Genomic DNA, 27,302 nt, shown 5'->3' with positions numbered 1-27,302 from the left:
TACCTCCTGTTTATCCGCCCGCCCCTCTACCACCGCCAAAGGACGTGCCCCTTCAGTAGAGTCGGGGATCCCAGCCCCAGAGCGGGGGAGGGCGCCTCCCTATCCCCTCCTCCCCGTCCCCGCCTCGGCTCGGGGTTTTACTGCAGCAGCCGGAGGTGACAGCGACGCCTCAGCCGCCTCTGTTGCTCTCGGAGCCCCGGCTTCCCCTGCACCGGGAAAGCGCCCCCTCTCGAGAGGCTGGTCCCTGGAGAACTGCGAACGAGCTGCAGAAAACCAGATTTTAAAATGTAGAAGTCGTTGGGCTGCATTCCTCCGAGGACCAGTCTGATCGCCCAGGACTAAGAGTGGCAGCGTATGAGAAGTTGGGACCATAGAGCAAGGGGGGGAGGGGAGTGTTGCAGCAGGCATTCTCTTCTGGAAGGAGTCGCTGGGAGCAGTGCGGTTGGACACAAGTTTGCGTAGGAGTGTTTTCCTTTTGTCAATAATTAATCACCGGAATTAGCCAGGTAGAATTTGAGTTTTAGCAAGAGTCCTGAGGGCGGGGCCGAACACCTAACTCCGGGAGGCTCCCAGGCGCCCGGCGCAGTGGGAAGCTCGCAGCAGCTGGGGAGGAGCCAAAGCCTCGGCGCTCACCTAAGCCGCAGGGAGATACACCCAACTGGGAGGTAAGCATCTTCCAAAATACCTACTTGAACTGTTAAGTAGCTTTAGTAGGATAGAATTCCTGTCTCTATAGGAGGAAAAAATTAATACTGAGCTTTAATGCAATTTATCAGTTTATTATTTAACTGCATTACAATTTTCAGAATTGATGGATTTTTCCATTTACCTTTCACTATGTGGGAAACTAAGATGTTTCACTCAGTAGAAGCCAAACTTTAACACTGAAACTTTCCAAACTAAAAGAAGAGAAAATTTCTTTACTATTTTCACTATTTACCTTCGTGTAGTCCATTAACGACTCAGGAAAATATCATTGGGTTGTGCTTGGTTTCCTTCTTAAATATTCATCTTTACCTAGTTCCGTGCTCCTATACAATCCCTCTCTGCCCATAAGCTACTTAAACTACTGTACTTTAGGCAATAGTACACACAAGTCACCTGCCAAAAAGTGAAGAATTTCCAACAAGGAATACATTTTAACATTCTCTTGTAAGTATTAAGCAGTATGTATTTTCTCAAAGATACTTAAGTCATCCTTTATAAGTAACCAAACTTCTTCACCAAAAGACAGCCAGCTAGAGTTAGCTAAATAGTTAACTTTGCCATGGGGATGAAGAAGGTGGGGAAATGTTTAGAGTAGCATTTTAAATATGAGTTGGACTCCAGATTTGTTTCAACTAAAGTGACATTCAACTGGTTGGCAATTCACATATGAGCCCAGTCCACAATCACATAAGGAGTTTGAAGAATTGTTAAATGTAAGAACTAGCCCCAAAGTCCAAATAACTGCATCAGGGGAGTTGGGAAAATTGTTTTTCAAAAAGATTTTGTGGTGCAGTACTTATTTTGAATTAGACAAAAATTAAGAAAGACATGGTAATTTTTGCTAGTGAAATTCTAAAATGTATACATAAAAGTGTTGAATTTTTAATAACTTGATTTCCACATCTGAATTATTCCTATGCTGTTTAAAACAGGTCATTTCGGTGACTTTCTCAAGGGCTGTGAAGGCTTTGTACATAGATAACTAGACCAAAACCAACAAGCTGTAGTATGAAATGTACTGTCACTCTCATTATCCAGATATTTATTTACAACTATTTAATGATAATAAATTAAAAATTATTTGTCAAAACAAAGCATGGTCATTCTAGAATTCGACTAGATTTGAAGTTGAAAGTCGATTTGAAGTTGAAAATCAACCAGTCCTCAACTCTCATTGGTTTTCTTAATTCACTGTAAATTTGCAAATACTTTTATAAAAACTGCCCTTTATAATTGTACAGCAATTCTATCTCTACTATGCTAATTATAAAGAGAGTTTTGCCACTATCTTACCACCAAGTATAAAAGAAACAAAATATTCATAAAAAATGATCCAAATGGGACTCACTTCCAGAATGGTGATGTGAAGAGCTTTTCAAATCCACTCCCTAAAAACAACAATAACTGGTGAAAATTATAGATAAATAACCATTTAAAGTTCCTGGTAATTGTCCTAAGGACATACAGCACGAAGAAAATATTTATTCAAGACAATCTCTTATATTTCAGTAAGAACTGCAAACAATTGTGATGCTTGAACCACAATATATTTCCCCACCCTCTCCAGTTGAGTGTGATGATGTTCCAGTAAGGATGGGTGCAGCCACTAACGCAGGGCCCCCTCTCAACCTAGATCCTCGTCTACAGTATACCCTGAGAGAAGCAGGCCACCAGCATTACTCATCATCCCCAGCTTTGTGTTTCAGAGCTCTATTCTAGATAAGAGCAACTGAGAGTTCTGAGGCTCTCTTCCTCCAACCATCCTCCACTCTTAAGACAGAAAATGAAGAACTCAACAACAAGAACACAACTCATTTAAAAGTGGACAAAAAAATTTGAATAGACATTTCTCCAAAGAGCAGGTAGAAACAGCCAATTTACACATGAGAAGGTGTTTACTAGCCATTAGTGGTTGGGGAAATGAAAATCAAATCAAAACCACAGTACAATCCCACTTCACACCAACCGGAATGGCTATCACAAAAAAAAAAAAAAAAAAAAAAAAAGGAAAGAAAGAGAGACAGAGAGAGAAAGAAAGAGAAAGAAAGAAAGAAAGAAAGAAAGAAAGAAAGAAAGAGAAAGAAAGAAAGAAAGAAAGAAAGAAAAGAAAGAAAGAAGAAAAAGAAAGAGAAAGAAAGAAAGAAAGAGATAATAGCAAGTGTTAGAGAAGATGTAGAGAAAATTGAACTGTCATATATTGCTGGTATTGCTGGTGGGGATGGAAAATGGTGCAATCGCTATAGAAGAGAGTTTGATCGTTCCTCAAAAAGTTGAGAATAGAGTTACCACATAATCAAGCAATTCCACTCCTAGGCATATATTCAAGAGAATTGAAAACTTATGTCCGTTCAAGAACTGTACACAAATGTTCATAGTGGCATTACTCATAACACCCAAAGAAGCTGATTGAAACAACCCAAGTTGTTTATTGAATGATGAATGGATAAATAAAATGTAGTATGGAATGAAATGATAAAATATTATTCAGCAATGAAAATCATGTGGCTGATACATACTACAACATGGATGAACATTGAAGAGATTACGTTAAGTGAAAGAAGACCACATACTATATGATTTATTTACATAACATATCCACAATAGGCAAATCTATAGAGAAAGTAGATTAGTTGTTTCCTGAGGCTGCAGTAGAAGGTAAGATTAGGGGCCGGGCGCGGTGGCTCACGCCTGTAATCCCAGCACTTTGGGAGGCCGAGGCGGGCGGATCACGAGGTCAGGAGATCGAGACCATCCCGGCTAAAACGGTGAAACCCCGTCTCTACTAAAAATACAAAAAATTAGCCGGGCGTAGTGGCGGGCGCCTGTAGTCCCAGCTACTTGGGAGGCTGAGGCAGGAGAATGGCGTGAACCCGGGAGGCGGAGCTTGCAGTGAGCCGAGATCCCGCCACTGCACTCCAGCCTGGGCGACAGAGCGAGACTCCGTCTCAAAAAAAAAAAAAAAGAAGGTAAGATTAGGGAGAAAACGGGAGTGACTAAAGGGTACAGTGTGTCTTCTTGGGGTGATGCAAATGGTCTAAAATTGACTGTCATGATGGTTGCAATACTGTAAATATACTAAAAACCACTGAATTGTGTACTTTAAGTAGGTAAATTGTATGGTGAGTTTTATCTCAATAAAGCCGGTTTAAAAAAATTTTCCAGAGTATTAAAAGAACAAATGGGTTTAAAACTTAGAGTTGCTGAATCCGCATGTGCCATTTGACCAATAGTTTATGTGAGGCTTTTCCCCAATGACCACATTAAAATATATGAAATATTTAAGAATTTCACAGGTGTCACACAGCTATGTGATTCACATATGTTTACATGCCTGCCCAAACTTTTCTCCACTTAGAATTAAGTCAAATGTCATTAGTATAGTCCTACAAAGAATTTGCTTGCAATGCTATATCTTTTTGGACTCATCAATTCGTTATATTAATCCAGGACCTGTGAGGCCACTTGTTCCTCCTACTTCTAGATATGTCTAGTCCTTTATCAGTGATTCAGGCCAGCGGTTGAGTTTGTTCAGGCCCACATTGGGTGAGAGAGGAAGGTACCTGGATCTCAGCCAAAAGTGTACTTGCCTTCTACTCAGATTAACCCAGTTTTGCCTACACTAGACTGGCCCTAAAAGCCAGAGAGTCTTGGGAAGAGGAAAAGCTGGAGCAGCCACTGAAGTCTTCACAGCATACTAACATGTCATTGTCAGAAAGCATCTGCTGTGATTACGACAACCTCAAATGCAGGAGACTCTCCCAAATAATTAATATGTTCCTCTATTCATCTTTTATGTTTTGAGTTCCCACAAGCTGCCTGATCCTGTACTAAGAACCATGAAATCAAATGATAATGCTTCGTCCAGAAATGGAAATATAAAACTAGTGAGCCTCAGAGTGTCATGGGGGTGGCAAGCAGCCTCAGCCTTGCTGCCAGACAGTTATTAGTTCACTGAAACAAACCATACCCTTAGCTTTAGGGATTTAAGTCTACCGGCTTCAGGAAACCTCAAGATTTTCCATTCTCACCAGCACAGGCTTATTCTTTCATGTGTATGTTTTTGAGGAGCATATCATGCTGATTTGTGTGGGTTTTGACCATGAAAGCTTTTGTAGAAGTCCACTGTAATATTTTCTCTAATTAAAAGATTTATATAAAATAATTTTTAATGTCCAGCAATTTATTTATTTTATTTTTATTGATTTATTTATTTTGAGACAGAGTTTCACTCTTTTTGCCCAGGCTGGAGTGCAATGGCGTGATCTCAGCTCACTGTGACCTCCGCCTCCCAGGTTCAAGTGATTGTCCTGCCTCAGCCTCCCCAGTAGCTGGGATTACAGGCGTCTGCCACCACGCCCAGCTAAATTTTCTTGTATTTTAGTAGAGATGGGGTTTCACTATGTTGGCCAGGCTGGTCTCAAACTCCTGACATCAGGTAATCCACCCACCTTGGCCTCCTAAAGTGCTGGGATTATAGACGTGAGCCACTGCACCCGGCCCAGCCATTTGTTTATAAAATCAATACATGTAGGAAAAAACTTGATTATAGTTACTTTTAAAATATTGCTTTCATCAGGATTAATAATTCATTTATTCAACAGATTTTAAAAAAGATAAATGAATTATTGCACACCTACCCTGTACCAGGTCACTTCTAGGCCCTGGATAAGTAATAAACAAAATAGACAAAAATTCCCAAGATGTCAAACATTAATAATAATAAGTAAATTACATAATGTAGATAAGGGCTCTGAAGAAACATAAAACAGAGAAAAGAACGAGCTACAATTTTAAATAGTGAGATCAGACTAGGAATTAAGATCATGCAATTAGAAAAATGTAAAATCACATACAAACCTGGCCACTGTAACTCGCCAAAAGGACTACCAGCTCCCAGTTAATTTCTCTCTTCCCCTGGGAAGCTTTGGTTTCCCCTTGCCATTAGCTTCAACCACCAAGATTATTTTGCTGCCTATATTTGCTGTTGTTTCATCAGAAAAAAATAGTATATCAGCACAAAGGCCTTCCAAGTAAGCATAAGGAAGACAGAACCCAACACCTGCTCTCGCGAATTACAACCTATGTAAATCACTGCATTATAATAACAAAAATTGCTCAAAGAAATCATCAGCCTGGGCTTTCAGTTTACTTTTGGCCTCTTCCTCTAGCTTTGTCCTGGATTCTTGTAGTCTTCCAGAGAATTAGTTTGCTTTTGGTCTCTTCCTCTAGCTTTGTCCTGGATTCTTACAGTCTTCCAGAGAATTGTGTGGTAAATAATTAAGAACTAGTTCCCCAAAGTTAATACCGTTTGAAGAGTGAAAGTGTTGGGGAGAAGTAAGGTAAGAGAAATTTCCAGGCCATCATGCCCAGGTAAAGAGAGAACAAGTCTTTCAGAACTATGGAAAGTGAGCAGAGCATCAAATCCCACAGACCAACTGAAAAAAAGAGGGAAAAAGCAACCAGTCTCCACTTTACCAGATTGTCCCAGAATTCCTACTCAGGGCACTTGGTTTAAAGGAGACCTGAGGAGGTCTCTTTCTAGTGAAATATAATGGGTGCCGCAGCTTTCTTGGACTAGAGCTTTTAGTAATGGCTTAAAAGGGAGCAGAGACCTGATTTTGTAAGTCAAAAGGATACATTTATTTCAGGCTTAGAGGAAAAGTGTTTAAGAATATTCAGAATAAAGATAAAGTTAGAAATAAGTCAAAAGACCCCCTGTCACAAGGGAGTTATTATGGAGCATTAGAATTCTCATTCATTCATTCAACAAATTTTGATTGAGCAGCTACTATGTGGTAGGCACTTAGGTAACAAGACAGAAGAGGACCTTATTTCAAAGACCTTTCCTTCTGAGGATATGTTATATGCCTTTTGCAACAAAATGTCTGAGAACACAGGAATAAGGACAACAACTTTCTGATTTGCCGACCTGACACCTCCTCCAGACTGGATTAGAGTCTTCTTCTATGCCCCTGAGAACCTTACACTTCCCTATCATAGCATAAACCACACTGTGTGTGGATGCTTGCTTAATTGCTCCTCCTCTTCTCTAGAAAGCAGCCTAAGGACAGTGACCATGTCTATCTTATTGACAGTTTATATCCCTCCTACATCCTTGCTAAATACTTGACTGAGTGGCTAGCTGGCTGGAAGGATGGATAAATGATTTGTCAGGTATACAAGTAGTGCATCTCTTATATTGTTGTTAAGTGAGCTGCATAAAGTAATTCATATAAAGTGCTTATCAAACTTCCGAAACATAAGTTGCTCAATAAATATCTGCTACTATTATCAGTATAAAATGGCAGCTTCCAGGTGACAATTTGCCATTTAAGTATTGTATCCCTGCTCTTTCAGCTCCATTATAAGATCAAAGGTTGTCAATTAGTAATTCCAAGCTAAAGTTATCACTTTGAGTTCAATATCTATAAAAATATTAAAAAGAGAATTTGGGAATAAATGTAAATAGCCTATTGAACAAGAAAGTTAAAATGATTCAAAAAAAGAAAGAAGGAAAAAAGCGCAAGATGTCATGCCCAAAGCAACTTTTCTGGGGCAATAATACCACACTTACATTCCCCATATATAGCCAAAATATCAGTTCATGTTTACGTTCTGGAACATTCTAATTGTGCCTCATAGAAATAAGCACCAATGAATGTTCACTGATGAAGAAGTAGAAAATAAAGCAAAAAAAATTAAATAAATATATATTATATATATATGGATGCATCTTATTTGAAGCTTAGTCTTATCTAAACCTAAGGGTGTTGTATTATCTTTTTGTTTCTTTTGAAAATCTAATGCTTTTTCCTGTGTGTGACCTTTAATCAAAATTAGCATAGTGCCTCCTCATATGGAGTTATCTATTACCAACTAAATGAGATGAAAAGCTAACTTGTGACCAACATATGGAAACCCAGTAACTTTGCTGCTTTCTTCTACTTCTATCTGAGAGAATATGCTTGGGCTCTTCCCCTACCAAAGGGATCCTCATAGGAAATTTTAAATCTCGCTCAAAAACATTTTTGTTTTAATTACTCAGATAGCGACCTTTGATGACTGTGGGATCTCTGAATTGGGAGCCATCACACATGAAGGAAAGCATGTGATGCCTAGCACACATGCCCAGGCCCACTGAAAATAGAAGCTGTCCTGATCAACTATCCAGGCAGAACTTTCCTTTGGTCTCAAAATTATTCTGGCGTTGTTACTAGGCTATGACTGCTGTATATCTGTTTAGATAGAGAAATTTTAAAAAAAAGTAGTTTAAGTTTAATAGATTTAAACCTGCCACAGGATCTACACAAACATATATACATATTTTTTACTGCCTTGGCTAATAATCAGCAACTTAATGAAAAACTGAAGTATTTAACACTAGGATAGTAATAGCACTGAATTAGAGATTTTATGGATTTTTTTTTTCATGTACCATCTATACATCCTGTGTCATCTTCCCATAGACTGCACAGGGGTAGAAGTTTTTGTAAAGTGCCTAAAACAATGTTAAGCTTATAGCAGTGACCAATAAATGTTTGTGGTACGAATGGAATAAATCTTGAGGTACCTTGAAATTTAGCCTAATGCAATCAATCATTAGAAAGATGATTAGAAAACTGTGTAAAGATATTTAAAAATCCCTTTGAGCAAAATTAATTGAAAAAATCAGAATACAGAATTAAATACATACTTTGACTACAATCAAGTGTGAAAGTAAAACATGCATAGAAAAAACTCCAAAGTGTTAACAATATACAAAGTTTTTTAAAAATGGTAAAATTATGGTTGTCTATATTTTTCATAATATTTTATAATTTTTATTGTGATATCTCAGGGGATACTTTATTTCTATAAGAGCAGGTATGGTTTCAACAGTAGTTAAAACTATTAATAAACAAAGAAATTATTCTTTGTGATTAAAAACCAGTCTATTAGCATAGCAACAATATTTCTCTTAAAGTTGTCAGCAAAGTCTTCTGACTTAGCTACTATCTTTATCTGATCTACCTTCACTAATATTGAATTTAATATACAAAAGTCAGTATTTGTCACTCAAATAGTCAAGAAAATCTGATTAACTGTACTATTTCTAGAGACATTTTTTAAATGTATTATACTATTGATGGAGAAGCATTATTTGTCACATAACATAGAACCTTATCTCTCTAGTGAGGTTAAGAGTTAAAATAAAGAAATGTTTTTCCTAAAAAGTTTACATTTGGTCTTCTCTAAAATCTTTTAAGCTAAACATAATGGAACCAACATAATGGAAATGAAATTTTGAAATAAATAAATAACTTTCTAATCTAGTACTTAGCAATTGTAAACTCTTAAGAACATAATTGACACCTTATTTTAAAATGATAAATTAATTTGGTTACTTTTAAATTTACAAATGATATACATACATATTAGTGGATATAAATATATATATTTGTAAATAATACAAAGAAGCATACATTTGTACGTATTATTATTACTATCATATTGTATAAAGCTGCAACAGAAAAATTCAACAACTTCTTATAAGTGTTGTCTAAACTCTACATTTGTAATCAAACATAATATCACTACTACTCACTAAATTAGATACCGTAGAAAGTGCTTACTCAATTTTCATGGGCTTTATGAATAATATATGTTAAATAGCCCCAGTTCCTCTAACAATCCTTTAAATAAGTTATTTCACAGTCTGGTCATGCAGCTTTTTAATGTAATTATTTGTCATCATAAACAAGGCAACTGTTTAAGCAATAACAAGCTGTACCTTGATCATTCCCACTCTCACAGTTATCAATTTTGATTAGCTATAGATTCTGATTTGTTTCTTGTTTATAGAATCAAAAAAATAAATTCTTATATTTGGTGGGGAATGAGTCTAAAATAATCAATGCTGTGGAGTACAAATTTGATTTTTAGAAGGAAAAGCAAAAAGTAGTTAAGAAACAAAGTGAACAACTTAAAAAATTTGATGTGAACTCTTTACCAAAGGTCTGTCATGGGGAGGTGGAGTCGCAGTACATTTGTCCCTTAGCTCAATGCATTTGAAGTGGAAGATTCTTACTTAATATTTGGCAGTATGCTTGAGAGAACAGGATCTCATGTGTTTGATCTTTTTCTAAGAATAGTAAACTGCTTCTCCTTTATTAATTCACCCATTGAAGAGCAATTTTAAGTAAAATTGATTTAGGTTCACTTTATTGATAGAAAAATTAGGCATAGAAACATACATAACTGAGCCCAATAGTTCAGTTACTAACCCTTCTTACTCCTAGAGGCTGCAGATATCATGTCTACTCTGCGATGGAGAGCTTGGGCCTTAAAATTTTAGTAGGTTGTTTTATTGCCTAAAACTTTGAACAAAGAAAAAATAAATCAATCAGGTTGGCCTAGTTCTGGTTTTGATGGGCAGGAAAATCAGGTTATAATTTAGAACAACAACAAAGAAAAGCTGTTCCACAAGTTACCTCTATTTAGGAGGAAACAAGCATCAATGCAAATACAAAACAGTAACTCTGTGATCTGCTAACTTCCTTCGGGGTGAATTCTTCCTACGAGGCTCATGGGAGTTATCATTTCACCCACTTATATCACATGTCCCTGAAGGATTCAGTAGAATCACCTAAAAGGAATCTGTTAGATAAGAGGAAATAAAATGCATGTAGAAAATAGAAGGAACAAATAATAATTGTGACGAAAGTTACTATCTTTGAGCCTTTACTAAGACCAGTCATCACTAAGGACCTTTCACCAATGTTGCATTGTTTAATCTCCACAATAATGCAGAAATAATTGATAATCACCATGTTACTGATGGCATAACTAATGTTCAAAGAGGTTAAACAATATCCAAATACCATGCAATAGCAAACTCCAGTTTGCCAATTTCAAACTCCACACTTTTTTTAATATGACAAAAACATTTTAACAAAGTAAATAATTCTCTGGTGGAATATTTAATTCTACTGTAGAAATACTATCTTAGAATCGGTGAGATTTTAGTAATATCTTCTTAAAACCTGCCTCCTGATGCATAGCAACACTTAGAAGGTGTTGTCTAGCCTCTGCTTGGACAATTTTCCTAATGGAGCTCTCGCTACCTCACCACATAACCCATTCCCCTTTAGACAGCTCTGATTTTTTAAAGTTTTTCCTAAGATTCACCTCTGCAAACAAAACAACAGTTCCAAATCTTCTCCTCCATGTCAGCCTATAACACCCTTTAATACCTTTTAGATCTTTTAAGACTTCCATGACACATTCCTCCCCCCAAATCTTCTCTCAGCATTTCCCAGAGGAAACCTTCCAGGACTTCTCCATCTAGCTTTCTATGGATATGCTTAGCTTGCTGGAGTGACCATTTTAACAGCTAGAGGAAGAATGCTAATCAAAGCCAGAAGCCATATCCCCTTTTTCTCATCTGTGACACCATATTTCTATAGATATGTAAGAATATTGGACCGCTTATTTATTTATTTGGCAGTCATATCACAAAACTATTGGTTTAAAATGAACTTGAAGCCAATAAAAAATCCTTAGTATTTTTACTGGGACTCCTTATAAGCTAATTTTCTCCAATCTTATCTTTACCAATTGTCTTTTTGTATGGAAGAACAGGACCTTTTGATTTCCCCATTTTACCCTCAGAATCTGCAATCTGCTAAGTCTCTTATCCCCCTACACCATAACATGGGATCATCTGGAAATTTGATGATACGTACTTTTCTTAACTTAATTCATATGGACAAAAAAGCTACAAATGGTCAGGGCAAAGTGCAAAAATCTGGGGCTAACTACTGAAGACACACTAACCATCTTTATGATGCTTCACAAATTACAAGACATTTTCACAGATATTTTCTCATTTAATTCTCACACCTAATATATGCATAAGACAATATCACTGTTCTATATATGAGGAAAAAGACTGAGAAAGACTGTATGACATACCTGATGTTCCACATCAAATAAATGACACAATAAGATATAAGCCTTATTGCTTCTGACTATATCCAATGTGATTTTAAAGACAAATTTTTTATAGATAGTGACTAATCTAATCTCTTCCCCGTGTCCCCCATGGATATTCAGAGAGATTAATAAAGTCAAGAAATATTTTCTACAAACAAAATCTCACCCAAAAACTGAATTAGAGAGCAGATCAAAAGCAGTCTGCTCCAAAAGAAGTGAGGTGGGGTGTTCTTAGCCCCTCCCTTTGTCCCTCCTTGGGCCTCCCCTCAACCCTGGTACCTGTGGCACTTTATAGTCCTGATTGGGGAATCACTAGCCAATGGCATATCTTCAAACTGTGACCTTTTCTAAAAATAATTTTTCAAATAAGGCTGGCTTGTTGTGCCTTGTGTTTATAACACATTCTAGACTTTTGTGAGAGATTATCCATCTAGATGGCTTAATGACCATTTACATGGGACAGAATGGTTTTAAAATTTGAAGACATCTTTTGGTTTATTTAATTCAAATCTTTATTTTGCAGATGAGGAAACAGCAACCCAGAGAGGAGAACTAACCCACACAGGATCATTTCGTGAAGGAGCAAGGCTGAAGAACCAGACCTGGACTTTCTTAGGCAAGTAAATTCTGATTATATCACGGAGACTTGCTTTGAGAAATCTGCCCCTTTTCACTGTGAGATGGCGTCATTAACACATCTAGTTCTCTCCTAAGCAGCCAGCAAACATTTATTATACACTAGATATTATATTGGCATTTGAGATGATACAAAGGAATAAAATGGGGCAATTAGCTCTAGTAATTTGGAGGTCTCAACTTACGGATATTCCAAGTTCCTTTGAAACGTGTGCAGAAAAATGTTTATGCAAAATTTGCCTACATTGCAAGGGGTCCATAGGACCCTCCCCCCAAGTCCTTGACCTCCAGGTTAAGAACTCCTAGCCTAGAAGAGGCCAATCCCAGCACAAGTGCCAGTGTTAGAATTGCATAGCACTAGCTACTGTCTTATTTATGGGTCTACTGGTTAAAGGCTGCTTGTGTTTCGACATCCTTCATCTTTTATTTAAATGGAGCAGCATCTTACCCTTGAAGACCTTTGGTACAAGAGAGGAATATATGTTTTAATAAGCATTTAATTAACCAGATCAGACAAATTAAGAGAAAAATATGGTAAAATGAAAACACTATTTTCCAAAAATATTAACAATTAAAATGAAGATGCCTAATGTTTATAACAGAACATTAATTTTTTTCTGGTTCCTTTATTTTTAATAAAGAAAGAAAAGGAAATAGAATTACAAAAAAAACACCTAGATACTACTAGCTGCCTGTCCACTTTTATTCAATCTATAGTGAGTGACCTATAGTAAAAGTGACCTATCAGCCAAGGGTAGGGGATGTGGACAAAAACAAATAGATTTATCTTATGAATGATTGCTTCCCAATCCTTCCCCTTTTGCTACAGTGTTTTTGGAGATTTGTAACTCTGAAATGGTTGGCAATAATTTCTTCATTTCAAAATATTTTTGAAAGCTCAATATTACTTTAACATTATTGATAACAAGCCTTGATTTTACTAATTCAAAAATACTTGTAGGATGCCTGGCATTTGCAGAACACTGTAAGGTATTCAGCAAAGAACAGGTGCCATTGAGGTTGCTGAAGCCTGTTTGTCTGCTTTATGACAGCCACACCAAAATTGAATAAACATTCTGAAAAATAACCTCTCTAAAACTGGTTTTGAATTTAGTAACCAATAAAAGTCATATGCCCCACCTTAAAAATGATCCCATTCTCTTTCATTCTTTGCCTGGTAGTCATAATCTAGCAATACCATATTAGAATAGTGTGGTAGTAATCATAATAGCTAACATTCACTTAGCTCTTCCTATGTGTTATTCTAAATATTTTATACTTTTTAATCATCCCAGCATCTGTGTGAATGAAGTTATCTTATTCCTGTTCTCCAGCTGGAGAAACTGAGGGTCAGAGTGATTGAGTAACTTGGCCAGGGTCACAAAATTAGTAAGAACAGAGCTGGGATTCAAACCCAGACAGGACCAGAGCCCAAGCTTGTAACCACTTCACCGTACGACCTGTCAGCAGGATTCTCACCCAGCTCCCCACATGGCCCTCATGACACATTGAGCCTCAGTTTCCTTATCTTTAAAACAGGGATAATTTAAGTTAGGCATCTAGCCATTGCCTACCACACTGGTACTGAAAACTGCTGTTTCTGCCGGGGGCAGTGGTGCACGCCTATATTCCCACCTACTTGGGAAGCTGAAGTGAGGAGGATCACTTGACTCCAGGAGTTCCAGACCAGCCTGGACAACATAGGAAAACTCCATCTCCAAAAAAAAAAAAAAAAAACAAAAGTTTCTATTGCCTGCAAAGAGATCACATTATAAGATTCTACCATTTCTAAGGAAGATATCTGTATTTGCTTCCTAGGGCTCTTGTAACAAATCACCACAGATTTAGCGGCTTAAAACAACAGAAGTTTGTTCTCTGATACTCCCAAAGGCTAGAAGTCTGCAATCAAAGTGTTGGCAGCGCTGTACTTCCTCCAAGGGCTCTAGGGAGAATTCTTCCTCACCTCTTCCAGCTCTGGTGGCTTCAGGCATTTTTTTTTGGCTTGTGGCTTCCTAACTCTGATCTCGCCTGTCTTCACAGGGCCTTCTCTGTGTCTCTCTTTTAAAAACAGTTGTCCTTAGATTTAAGGCTAATCTGAGTAATACAGGATGCTCTTTTTTCAAGATCCTTAACTTAATTGAACTACAAAGACTCTTCTTCCAAAAAGGTCATATTCACTGCTTCCAAGACATGAACATAGGTTTTGGGCGGCTAATATCCGACTTACTACAAAATCCCAATATAAGTATTTTTATGTTTTGGAAGATTCCCTCTGGCCTTCGCCCTGACAACAAGCCAGCTTTATTCAGAGGGAGTAAATCATTTTATCTCACCACTCCTTTTCTTTGCACTGGAAGCATGTAGGTAGCCATATGGCTGGGAGCAGGTGAAGGAGGATGAACCCAACAGTAATATATCCACACTATTCTCAGGAGAATCAGAAATCCACTTGGCTAAATTGTCAATGAGAGTTTTTTCTTTTAGTATATCATTGCAGTAATTCACTTCTAAGTATAAGATTATAAAATCTAAGCGATTTATGTGCCTAAAGCAACATGTTTTCACTGAATACTCATGAATTTGACTATAAACTTCTACTTTCCCTTCTCACCTCCCCTCTGTCTCTGAAACCATCTAACCTGGAATACAGCAGTATAACCAACCAAGCAGGGAAATGTCCCTTGATTCAGGGGTTGGCAGAGAGAGCACCTTATCAACGCTATGCGTGTCTCTATGGCCTGATCCGCCTAGTTCTCCACTCTTTTCTTTTCCTTTTTTATTTTTATTTTTTTTTCTTTTTGAGACAGAGTCTTACTCTTTTGCCCAGGCTGAAGTGCAGTGGCATGACCACAGCTCAGTGCAGCCTCAACATCCTGGGCTCAAGCGATCCTCCCACCTCAGCCCCTCAAAGTGCGAGGATTACCACGCCCAGCCTCCACTCTTTTCTGTAAAAGCGCTAATAAGTGAGATGCAGAAGCAGGTCAACTGAGGGCAATGAAAGGGCAGCAGGCTAGATTACTACTGTCACAAAATCACATCTATGAAAGTTCAATGTTGTCAGTCACCAAAATAAGAAAAACACTGACCTCATCACCACAGCTTTCCAGATAATGTAATAAGAAATAAAGAATAAGCAGAAGTGGGAGAGACAGATAAATATGTTTTTTTAAAAAGTTGTATAAACATATCTATTCAATATTACCCAAAAAAGTGAAAAGAAAACAGACAATTAGTATTAGAAAACACTATTGGAAAGGTCTTGGCTGACCAGCTCCTTATACAACCAGATTTGCTTTGGCAGAACTCTGAGAACAACGTACTCCTGACAGATCAATATTGCAGTAACTCACCATTTTCACCCTCAAATTATTCACTGGATAAAAATCTTCAGTTGCTGAAGATTCATAAAATGTAATAACAATAGGTAGGGAAGAGAAAAAGGCTTAACTTTTCATGGTCAGGCTTCTAGCTCTTAAGAAAAACAAAGGCCTTAGAAAAAACATCAAGCAAGTCTTTCCTAAGGCAGTTAAGCATATCATAGAATTCACAGTTCCCACAAGTACTGTAGAAGATTAAGCTATTAGAATTTCACTGATGCCAGGAATAAACCTAAATATGTCAGCTGTCATCTCAAGAAGGTTCTTGGGGGTTTGGCTCTTCTGAGTTTTCCCCTTCTATTTTGACAACCAAGAAGGGAACCCCAATTGGGACCTCACAATTATTATTTGAAGACCTTTGGGGTTATTTGTTTACTCAGCTTTGTATGGTACATCGATGTGATTTTGCTAGACTAGTAATGCCCCATTCCAACTTGAGACTCTTATTGACTTTTAATAACTTTTTAAAAATATTATTCAGACTGTTTTAAAGTTTATTTTAAAATTTCAGTCCTTCATAATTTTTAGGGTTATTCATTGATTTCTTAAAATGTTTAATTGTGGTAAACTACACATATAATTTAACATCTTAGTCATTTTTAAGAGTACAGTTAAGTGGTGTTAAGTATATTTACATTGTTCTTCAACCAATCTCTAGAACTTTCTCATCTTGCAAAACTGAAACTCTATACCCATTAAACAATAACTCTGTATTTCTGCGTCTCCCCAGTCCCTGACAACCATCATTTTTCTGTTTCTAGGGTTTGACTACTCTAGATACCTCATGTAAGTGAAATCATACAGTTTTTGTGACTGGCTTATTTCACTTCAACAACAAAGGCTCATCCATGTTGTAGCATGTGCCAGAATTTCCTTCTGTTCTAAAGCTGAATAATATTCCATTGTATGTATACACCACATCTTATTTTTCCATCCATTTGTCCATGGACATTTGGATTGCTTCCATCTTTTGACTATTGTGAATAATGCTTCTGTGAATGTGGATACACCTTTAATGACTTAGAAAACAACTTTTGGTGGCTTTAATGCCATTGTTAATGTTGCAGTTTGTTCACTTTTTGCTTCTAAAAACAACCTGGCAGCCCTTGGCAACAATATATTCAAAAGGAAAAAGCCACTCAGAAGTTATATATTTTCCCTTTTCCTTCTTTATATAACAACAAAGTTTCTTTTCTTTTTAAATAAAATAGTTATAAAGAAGCTCATACTAAGAAAGGACATTGTAGCTAAACCTTGACCTAGAAGCCCTACTCTCCCTTCCAGTATTGCCAGAAATAAGCAGGGATACTTACCCTGTTTCTGTTAGGAAGTGAAAGGACAGCAGAAGCAAGACAAGATAGACCATTCCCTTGTTACAAATTTCTCTTCCTACTCCTAATATCTCCTCAGCATCAATGTATGTGGCACTCTTTATTTTCTAAATGTTTCTTCTTTTTGATAGCCACACAATACTGAGATTAATCTAATCTGAATTTAGTATTTTCTATATTATCATGAGAATTTTTGTTAAAGTCGAATTCCAAATTTTCTTTCCCAGCTGGAAGTTTTTCATTCATAAATTCCTCTGTAGTCTATCAGAAGATGACCAAAAAATAGGACTGCCTTGAAATTGCAGTTACTCAACACATGCCATGTTGCACAATGACTCCAATTGATAGTTGGACTAGAAATACATGTTTTTTAAATTGTTTTGCTTTTGTTAGTGTTAATACAAATGGAAGGTAATAAAATTGGTTCAGGCCAGGTGTGGTGGCTCACGCCTGTAATCCCATCACTATGGGAGGTCAAGGTGGAAGGATCACTTGAAGCCAGGAGTCTGAGACCAACTTGGGCAACAAAGTACAACCTGGCCTCTACAAAACTGTTTTTTAAAAATTAGCTGGGCATGGTGGCATGTGCCAATAGTCCCAGCTACTTGGGAGGCTGAGGAAGGAGAATATCTTGAGCCCCGGAGTTCAAGGTTGCAATGACTGTGGTCATGCCACTGCACTCCAGCCTAAGTGACAGAGCGAGACCTTGTCTCAATAAATAAATGCATAAATAAAATAAGGTGAGTTCAGGTAGCCATAAAACATTCTGTTATTGTATATAACACAAAACACTGTATCAACAACAACCTGACTGAACTGTTAGTGAGACTTTTTCCTTCTAGTATATTATTTCAGTAAACTTCCAAGTATAAGATTATAAAATTTAATTAGAGTAACTTTGCTGCCTAAAGCGATAATGTGCTTTGACTTACAATTGTTTGTTTCTTATCTCTAGAGGGTCTATAAAATTATCCAACTAATGAATGTGTAGAGAAAGTTCCTTAATTGCCCTATGGTTGTTCGATTTTCTTCCCTACCTTTGATTCATCATAAACTTTTAAGTTGTTTTTTTCAGCTTCCCCTAAAAACTTGGACTCCAAATCTTCACCTCTGGTCTGACTTCTGGTATTCACTCTGCTGTCAACATGAGGAATTGGTTGCCAAAGGAAGGCTGGGGAGTATTCTAAGATGAAAAGAAAATTCTCCTCCAAAAGTTTAAACAAGGATGGAATTTTCTGTAGGGCACAGAAAACATTGGGGTCACCCACAGAGAATGTAGAGCAAGGTATCTGGAAACTGATCAGCCAATAAACTGAGGTTATGTCTAATTCTTACACAGAAGCAATATAAGGTTTTGCCCCATTAATCAGATAAACTTAAACCACATTCATGTGTCCGATACAATAAGAAATTGCATGTCTTTGTATCTCTGTGAATCTAATTGTGCTCACATGAAGATGCAGCTTGTGATTAGGCCCCCGAGACAAGAACAATCACATTGGTTGTGCAGTGCACAGCCCACACAACAGTATGTGGTGGCCCTGCCCAAGAAATATTTCGCCATTTGTTTACAGGTTCCAATACCTTTCAAGTAGTGAAGCCATGTAGCAATCATGGCTACAAACGTGTGTATTTATTTATTTATTTTAAGGTACTAGATGATTCAATTAGCAAACATAAATAAGGGGTAGTTTTTTCCCCATCAAATATACAAATCACTCCATTGTTGAAGTAACTGTTATATTCCACAAAGACTCTTTGAGTCTATAATTTAGTAAAATCTTGCAAGTGGCTTAAAGTTTTACAAATCTACAAGTAATGACAAGACACTACAGTTGCTGTGAATATTACTATTATGTCTAAAGAGCTAAAACCCATTCCAACTCTCCTTACTACATCACTCAAACAGGCTCAGAGACAATTATCAATTATCTCAGTTTTACACATGGAGAAACTGTGACACAAGAAGATTTTGGAATTTACCCAAAGACACAAATAAAATAAATAAATAGAAAGAGAGGAAAAGAGCTGCAATAGAATTCAAGTCTTCAAGTGTCCAGGTGTTCCCATCCTGGAATTTTTCCCATTAGAACCACTTTTCTACCTACCAATCTTAAATTATTACTCACCTAGAGTAAGCACTTCTAAGAGCTATTTCAATAGGATTTAAAACTAATTCATAAGTCTTTCTTATTCCCCTGCAGAGTCCATGAACTTTTAACATTATAAGAAAGTAAAAAAGCATTTGTTATATATATTTTTAAAAATTTAGCACCAGCTCCCTTCCATGCTTCAAAAAAACAGATTGTACTGAATTTTCACAAAACAATCTGTCTAAAACTCATTGCCTGAAAGCAGACAATGAGAATTCAGAAGCACCTTTTATGATCCCCACATTGTGCTGTGGAAATATTAAGTACATTCGAGTGTGCTTCCTGCCTTCAACCACCTTACAACTGAATCGGTCAGTCAGCCAACAGGCCAGCTCACCAACCAGGCACTGGGGATAAAAAGATGAATGCTGCACATTCCCAGTACCCAAAGCCCTCATAGTCTTGTGGGGAAACAGACTGTGCATAACTAAAAATGTTGCTACAATGGTAACACATAAAAGAGAGTAATAATATTTTCCTTTGCAGGGGAGGGGTCTTCTGAGAATGTTTCATAGAAGAAAGAATATAGAAGATATGCCTTAAAATAGCTTCTTTAAGCAATAGCTTAAAATAGGAGTTTATCTGGCAGAGAAGGGGCACAAGAAAATTTCAAGAAAAGAAAAGAGCATGAATGAAAACATAGAAGCTTTAGAATGAATGGCATTTAGCAGGAGAGTTGAGAGATTTAACTGGAGAGGTGAAGAAATGAAACTGTGAAGGGCTTTAAACGAAGGTTTTATTTCATAGGAAATGGAGAGCCATTGAAGGCTTTCAAGAAGAGAAATGAATCTGTTAAGTTTGGACAGTTAATTCTAGCAGCAGTTTAGAAGACTGTAAGGTAAAAAAGAGACAAGTAGGTAGCTATTTCATTAGTGCAAGCAACAGATGGAGAGTCCACAGCACCATCCAACAAAATATTCTGCAATGTTGAAAATATTCTATATCTTTTCTCTCCAGTATGGTAACCACTAGCCACATGTGGCTATTAAACACTAGACATTTAAATTGTCATGTGTGACTAGTGGCTGCCATATTGGACAGTACGGAGACATCTTAGAGAAGCTAACACTTAAGCCTTAAAGTTGGATTTTTCCAACTGCAGGTTGCAATTAGTAGGTTAAGAAATCAATGTAGTAAACACAATCATGATGTTTTTAATGAAAGAAGAGAATAACAAAATAAGGTAGAATTAACTAGAATAGATAAGAATAAATATAATGGAACAGAATAGAATAAAAAATATCAGCATGCTCTGCAAAGTATTCTTTTGAGAGATGTTTGTTTCAGTTATATGACTCTCTCTCTCTTTCTCTCTCTCTCTCTGTGTGTGTATGTGTGAGTGTATACACCATGGATCACAATGTAAGATGTATTTTTCCTCTTTATTGTGTTTAAGAAATTTTAAAAGCCAGTCTCTTATGCAAGGATATTACTCATCTATGTACATAGTTATTGGGAAAAATTTTCCAGATAGGAAGTAAAGCTTCAGCAAAGTTCACTGGAGTTTAGAATAGGGATAACTCTGGACCTTTGAAGGCTTTCCTAATTAATCTTTTCTCTTTTGGATCGGCTTCATTGTTTAGGACAGTTGTAGATTTACAGAAAAATCAAGAAGACAATACAGGGAGTTCCCATATACCCTGAATCCAGTGTCCCCTTTAAAATCTTACATTAGTATAACATATTCATTACAATTAATGAACCAATATTGATATACTAGTATTAACTAAAGTTCTTACTTTACTCATATGTCCTTAGTTATTACTTAATGTCCCTTTTCTGTTCCAGGATTCCATCTGGGATACCACATTACAATTAGTCATAATGCCTCCCTTAGCCTCCTTTGGCTATAACAATTTTTCACAGTTTGCTTGTTTTTGATGACCTTGGGGGTTTTGGGGAGTACTGGTCAGGTATCTTGTAGAATGCCCCTCTAATGGAATTTGTCTGATACCTTTCTCATGATTAGGCTGGATCTATGGGTTATTGGGAAGAAGACCACAGAGGTAAAGTGTCTTTTTTGACATCATATCATGAAGATTATTCATATCATGATTGTTATCAACATGACTAATAATGATCGATGTTGGCCTTGACCACCTGGCTGAAGCAGGGCTTATCAGTTTTCTCCACTGTAAAGTTACTCATTTTTATCCCCCCTTCCATACTGTGTTCTTTGGAAGGAAATCGCTGTATTTCTAATTTTTTAAATAAATGAATTACTCAGTTAAAGGAGGGCTTGTACTTGAGTAAGTCATATTAAGCTGTTTCCAAAGAAAGCTACTGTGAGTACAGAAAGAGTCTCTTTTTAGATACAGCATCTCTCTCTGCAACTGGCAGGACACTTTTATCACTTCTCAGATTTTCAGGTTCCAAATATGAAGCACAAAAAAAAAATGAAGCTGAGTGATTGATGTAGAGTTCCAAAGTGAGTTGAGAAGGAGTTAACCCAAAAATCAACTTTAGGCCCTTCTAACTGTTCAGTCCCTGATTCTGATGTTCTAGAAGTAAATTTAAACCAAAATGTACTAAGTCTTTTTTTTCCCCAGGAGAATAGCTACCTTTAGAATAGGAAATTCCTTAATGAGAAAATCCAGTAACTTGGGGTAGTTCTTTTTTGGCAGGGGGAGGGCTACTGATCACGTCTTCTGCAATATTTCCAAGGTAAATACCACTGTACCAAATCACCTGCTACGCCTCTTTCATTGCAGTTACCTAACTTCCTTCCAGTCCTGTTCCCCAAAACAGAAAACAACAACAAAGAGCTCCCTGAGCAAGCCCAGCCAATACTTTTCTTGCAAGCTCCCCTCAACTGTGTTCACATTCCATGACTCATACAGCAGTGTTCGTGTTACCACATGTGGTTTTTTTTAATTGTTACATTTATTCACTTTCTTCTCCATCCAAGCCAGAACAAAGTCCTGCCCCTGTGTAATGAGTCATAAGTCTCAAATCTTCTCCCTCTCTATCTGAGAGAGGAGATGTAACTTCATCTCCTTCTCCACCGCACACAAATCTAATGAGAGGGAAATCACCACCCGTTGATAAAAGAGTAGTAACAATCAGAAATAAGAAATAATCATTTACTCTGCATTCCCAGTTATGAAATAACCTTTTAGTGGACTTCCAACACAGAAACATTCAGGCTACAGCCGGTATTATCACTGTCTCAGCATGTCAGAGTCAAACTGTATCCAGGCCACTGTACCCCTGCCTGAAGCCACATCACAGTCTGCTTAGGAGTGCCACCTTTGAATACACAATCTCATGAAAGATCTAAGAACATTTTTAAAGTCATCAAGTTTAGAGGAAACTTTTCTTTTTAAAAAAGAATAAACTACTCTCTCCTTCTTTTCCATATATCGAAAGTCATCTTTTCAAAAGCACCTAACTAAAAACAGGAGATGCATGGTGTGCCTGAATAAAGTAAGCATTTCAAGTTCTTGGTTTAGCTTTGCTGAGATACAGCACTAGGTCTCTAAGGAAGTGGATAGATTAATATCACATTTCACTGTGAAAATTTAGGACTTTAAAATGTTTGCTATCATCTAGTTCTAGGTTATCAGTGGATAATTAATTTCATATTTCTGTCATCTTATTTCCTCAAATGCAGGCTCTTTTTCTAGCCTTCTTCTTAGCATTTTTCCATGTCCTTTCCTCCCACTTAGTACTCATTCCTGGGCCATCGATCACTGCATGTTTGTTATATGGTCCAGTTTGCTGCTTCCTGGAAGAGCATCTCCTGCCTGTAATGCCTTTGAGAATAAAGTCTTTCCGAAGCCATTAATATTCAGAAGGAGCCACATAGTAGTACTCAAAATGTATTCATTCAATGAATGAATGAATTCTCCTAACCACATTACTCATCAAATTGTCTAAAGTGGTTTTTTCCTTTTAATCTTGTATATAGTCCCACAGGAGATAAGAAAGTTGACTCACAGAAGGTAGAAATATATTACCTAAGCAAATCTAGAACCTAAAAATAGTGTGCATTCTAACAATAGATTGTAGCAGATGGTTCAACAATAATAACCAACTCTCCCTCTTCTCACCTTCTCATGATAAGAAATGACACACAAACTGTCTTTAAAATTGCTTATCATCAATAAGGGGAAAATGAATCAGAGAAAAAGAGACAATCAGTGTTTTCAAGAGACACTTTTCACATGTCAGTTCTGGCTACTTAGAGGGCTGAGATTGTGGTAACTGGCAAAAAAAAAATTTTTTTAATCTTAACTGCTTAAATGGTTAGCAGTGCAGAAGTATATTTAAAACAGCCAGATTTAAAGTCATTGCAGATTTGGGGTATTTGTGATCAAGATCTTACCATGTATCCACTGTTGGTGCTATACATGTTGGTGTGCTTTTTATCTGCTGTTTCTTTTATTCATTGATTGATTGTTTGACTTTTAGCGGTTTTAAACAATAGACATTAATTATCTTGAAGTTTCTATGGCTCAGGAATCTGGATACAGATTAGCTGGATGCCTCTGGCTCAGGGTCTTTCTCAAGGCCATCATTAAGGTGTTGGCTAGGGCTGCCCAAGCAAGGAATTCTAATTTTAATAGAGAAAGCAATAGCCGGGAAATTAATCAATGCATTTTTTTTAATTTAGAGTGTTTTGTTTTGTTTTGTTTTGTTTTGTTTTGTTTTGTTTTGTTTTGTTTTGCCAGGATCTCACTATGTTGCTCAGGCTGGACTTGAAGTCCTAGACCAAAGGGATCCTTCCCCCTTGGCCTCAGCCTCTCTAGTACCTGAGACTATTGTCCTGCCCCACCATGCCTTAGCATTTTTCCATGTCCTTTCCTCCCACTTAGTGCTCATTCCTGGGCCCTCGATCACTGCATGTTTGTTACATGGTCCAGTTTGCTGCTTCCTGGAAGAGCATCTCCTGACTGTGATGCCTTTGAGAATAAAGTCTTTCCGAAGCCATTAATATTCAGAAGGAGCCACATGGTAATACTTAAAATGTATTCATTCGGTGAATGAATGAATTCTCCTAACCACATTACTCATCACTTAATTAGTGCAGTTTGTTTGTTTTTTGAGACAGAATTTTTGCCCAGGCTGGAGTGCAATGGCAAGATCTCGACTCACTGCAGCCTCTGCCTCCCAGGTCTCCCAGGTTCAAGTGATTCTCCTGCCTCAGCCTCCCCAGCGGCTGGGATTACAGGTGCCCACCACCATGCCCAGCTAATTTTTTGTATTTTTAGTACAGACAGGGTTTCACCATGTTGGCCAGGCGGGTCTCAAACTCCAGGCCCCAGATGATCCGCCTGCCTTGGCCTCCCAAAGTTTTGGGATTACAGGCGTGAGCCACCGAGCCCGACAATTAGTGCATTTGTAAAAGCCACAACAAGTTCGGGTACAGTGGCTTATGCCTGTCATCCCAGCACTTTGAGAGGCTGAGGCGGGCAGATCACCTGTGGTCAGGAGTTCAAGACCAGCCTGGCCAACATGGTGAAACCCCATCTCTACTAAAAATGCAAAAAAAAATTAGCCGGGCATGGTGGTGCATGCCTGTAATCCCAACTACTCAGGAGACTGAGGCAGGAGAATCTCTTGAACCTGGGAGGTGGAAGTTGTAGTGAGCGAAGATTGTGCCACTATATTCTAGCCTAAGCAGCAGAGTGAGACTCTCTCAAAAACAAATAAATAAATAAATAGCCACAACATATAGAGAAAAGTTAATAATATTTCTAAATAAGCAATATTATCTCATTTGTAAAAATGAAGAGTATTTAAGAATATTTTAAACAGGTTCTCAGTATACTGTTGATTCTGAAACAGTAATGCCCTAGGGAAGAGTAGAGGTACAGATTTTCTGAAATACTTGGGCTCCAAAGTCATTTCAACTTGACTCCAGAATGCAGCATTACCACATGAACTTAAAGCCTCCTCCTCTCAAACCCACCACAGCATTGCCCTAACTCAGAGGTTGAAGATAAAACAGTTAACTTATCCAACTAGGCCCTACAGCTTCTGGCCTCACTGTGGCCATTCCCACCTCTTCAGTGTCATCACACTCCCTGCTCCCTTCTCCCTCCGTGGCCCCTCAAAAGCAACCTACTTCTTCCCACCTCCAACCTTTGTACATATTGTTCCCTCTGTCTTGGCTGTTCTCCCTACTTCACTGTCTATTCTATCCATTTGACTCATAATGATCCCTTGGACCTTATCTCAAAAGTCTCTTCCTCAGAGCTGTGCTTAGGTTCACTTTTATTTCTCTTTGTATACATGGCTCAGGAAAATGAGGCTAACCTCAATTTTTAGGTACCATTATCACTAAAGTTATTTCTAACAATTGTCATGTTTAGATAGATGTTACTGTTACTAATAGTATTATTGCTGCCAATTTTAGTAGTGATTATTAGTAGTGGTGACAATATTATTAATTTTTATAGTTAATATAGTATGTATTATTTTACAGAATATTCATATATTAATAATATATTCAATGATCTTTAACAAATCTTTGAAAGATTTTAACATGCTGAGATCATGAAATTTTAAAGTGATTCTATGTTTGGTTCCTCATCCTCTAATCTGTTACATTCTTTAACAGGACAAACTTACTGCAGCTTGAAGGAGCCAACCATGGATTTGAGGCGTGTGAAGGAATATTTCTCCTGGCTCTACTATCAATACCAAATCATTAGCTGCTGTGCTGTTTTAGAGCCCTGGGAGCGATCTATGTTTAACACCATCTTACTAACCATTATTGCTATGGTGGTATACACTGCCTATGTCTTTATTCCAATCCACATTCGCCTGGCTTGGGAATTTTTCTCAAAAATATGTGGATATCACAGTACAATTTCTAATTGATCCTGTTCACATTCAGTGAAATGGCATTGCATATTTATATGTTGCTTACAGCTTATTGATTTAGGTAACTATTGTGTCTTCCTTCACTATCTGACCTGAAAAGCACTCTCTTCTCTATGCACTCTTATATTCTGCCTTTCTGCCTGGAGTTTGAAATACATGTCTCTTTAGTTTCTTTTGCACATGCTACATTGTGCTTTAGACCGGAGATAATACAGTGACTTTACCTCACAAATCATATTCTGTCAACACAAATCTATGAATTTAGTTTATTTAAAATCAGAACAATTTCCTACAAAATTTTTCTGGAAAATAGACTCCTAACAGACCTACCAGAATCATGCTTAAAGTGCTCCCTTGACACTTATTCTATACTAAAGGATAAATTTTAAAAAATCTTTATAGGCTACTGTCAGAAGTATCCTATCCTTGTTTACGATGTATAAAAAGATGTGAATAAATTATATGGACCCCCTAAGTCTTATTTTCTAGTAAACTGATGATACTGGAAATTCTTTTACTTCAAATGCAAAAGAATAAGCTGGAGGCAATTATTTCCTTTCATACAGAGTTCATGAATTGTTTTAAATGCTTCTTAAAGTCTGGCTTTATAACCGTTTAAAATCAACAATGTTGATTTTAGATAACCAAGTAAGTATTATAATACAAAATAATTTTAAGTGTAAGAAACTAAAGTATAATCAAAGTAAATTCAGTTATTGTATTTGTGGTGTTGCCTTGCCTTGCATGATGCTGGGGGAAAAAGAGAAAAGAAATGGTTTTCTTTTTGTACTTTCATTCAGTGTAGAGGGAAAAAAGCATGTATTGGGCCACCGGAAGACAAGCTAATAAATAGGCTGGAAGTAATATTCTACCAGCAGGAACTCAACAGCTCCAGTTAAATGCTTTGATATAGTGGCTCCTTTGCAGAGCCAAAACAAGATTTATTAAATTTCCTTCAAACTGTTTATCTTTAAAACAAATATAAGGTTTTAATTATACTGCTGAAGCAAATGTGAATGCCAAAGACTACGTTTTGCAGTTTTGCTTTCCTCCCAATAAATATTAATGTATGTAATTCTAGAGGGTAAAAATGTAAATAGGTTTGGACAATATTTGCACCCTTGTTTGTGTTATGAAAAAAATTTTTCCAAGGTGAGCTAGAGAGAAAGATGTTTGGCATGCCAAATTAACTTGCATGTTTGTTAAAAAAACAAACACATGTTTTGAAGAGAAACCAGATCTGAACATGTATTTGTTGAGTTTTGCAAAATAAAATTAATTTTGTAAGTAAA

The 27,302-nt window shown here is 37.1% G+C and overlaps 1 protein-coding gene across 4 annotated transcripts, besides 2 other annotated features; it reads left to right on the top strand.

The window, feature by feature from the left end:
• Window positions 1–555: an enhancer, noted in NCBI's record as "H3K27ac-H3K4me1 hESC enhancer chr3:161089333-161089887 (GRCh37/hg19 assembly coordinates)". NCBI's record gives its function as "activates a minimal SCP1, AML or CMV promoter by ChIP-STARR-seq in naive and primed H9 embryonic stem cells {active_cell/tissue: H9 hESC(naive and primed)}" and the evidence as "EXISTENCE:reporter gene assay evidence [ECO:0000049][PMID:30033119]".
• Window positions 556–1,110: an enhancer, noted in NCBI's record as "H3K27ac-H3K4me1 hESC enhancer chr3:161088778-161089332 (GRCh37/hg19 assembly coordinates)". NCBI's record gives its function as "activates a minimal SCP1, AML or CMV promoter by ChIP-STARR-seq in naive and primed H9 embryonic stem cells {active_cell/tissue: H9 hESC(naive and primed)}" and the evidence as "EXISTENCE:reporter gene assay evidence [ECO:0000049][PMID:30033119]".
• SPTSSB (serine palmitoyltransferase small subunit B) lies at window positions 583–27,302 on the top strand. Of its 4 annotated transcripts, NM_001320679.2 has the most exons (4): window positions 583–665; window positions 12,206–12,298; window positions 23,997–24,135; window positions 25,745–27,302. In NM_001320679.2, exon 4 carries the CDS (start codon window positions 25,777–25,779, stop codon window positions 26,005–26,007), a length of 231 nt encoding a protein of 76 aa, NP_001307608.1. In that variant the 5' UTR covers window positions 583–665; window positions 12,206–12,298; window positions 23,997–24,135; window positions 25,745–25,776; the 3' UTR covers window positions 26,008–27,302. The 4 variants fall into 4 exon arrangements, with proteins under 4 accessions (NP_001307608.1, NP_001035189.1, XP_024309148.1 ...); NM_001040100.2 differs by lacking the exon at window positions 23,997–24,135; XM_024453380.2 differs by lacking the exons at window positions 583–665; window positions 12,206–12,298; window positions 23,997–24,135 and adding an exon at window positions 12,307–22,605.

Source organism: Homo sapiens, chromosome 3 (genome assembly GCF_000001405.40).
Source record: "Homo sapiens chromosome 3, GRCh38.p14 Primary Assembly".
Lineage (NCBI taxonomy): Eukaryota > Metazoa > Chordata > Mammalia > Primates > Hominidae > Homo > Homo sapiens.
The sequence above is the reverse complement of the archived record's forward strand: the minus strand, read 5'-3'. Positions and strand labels throughout refer to the sequence as shown.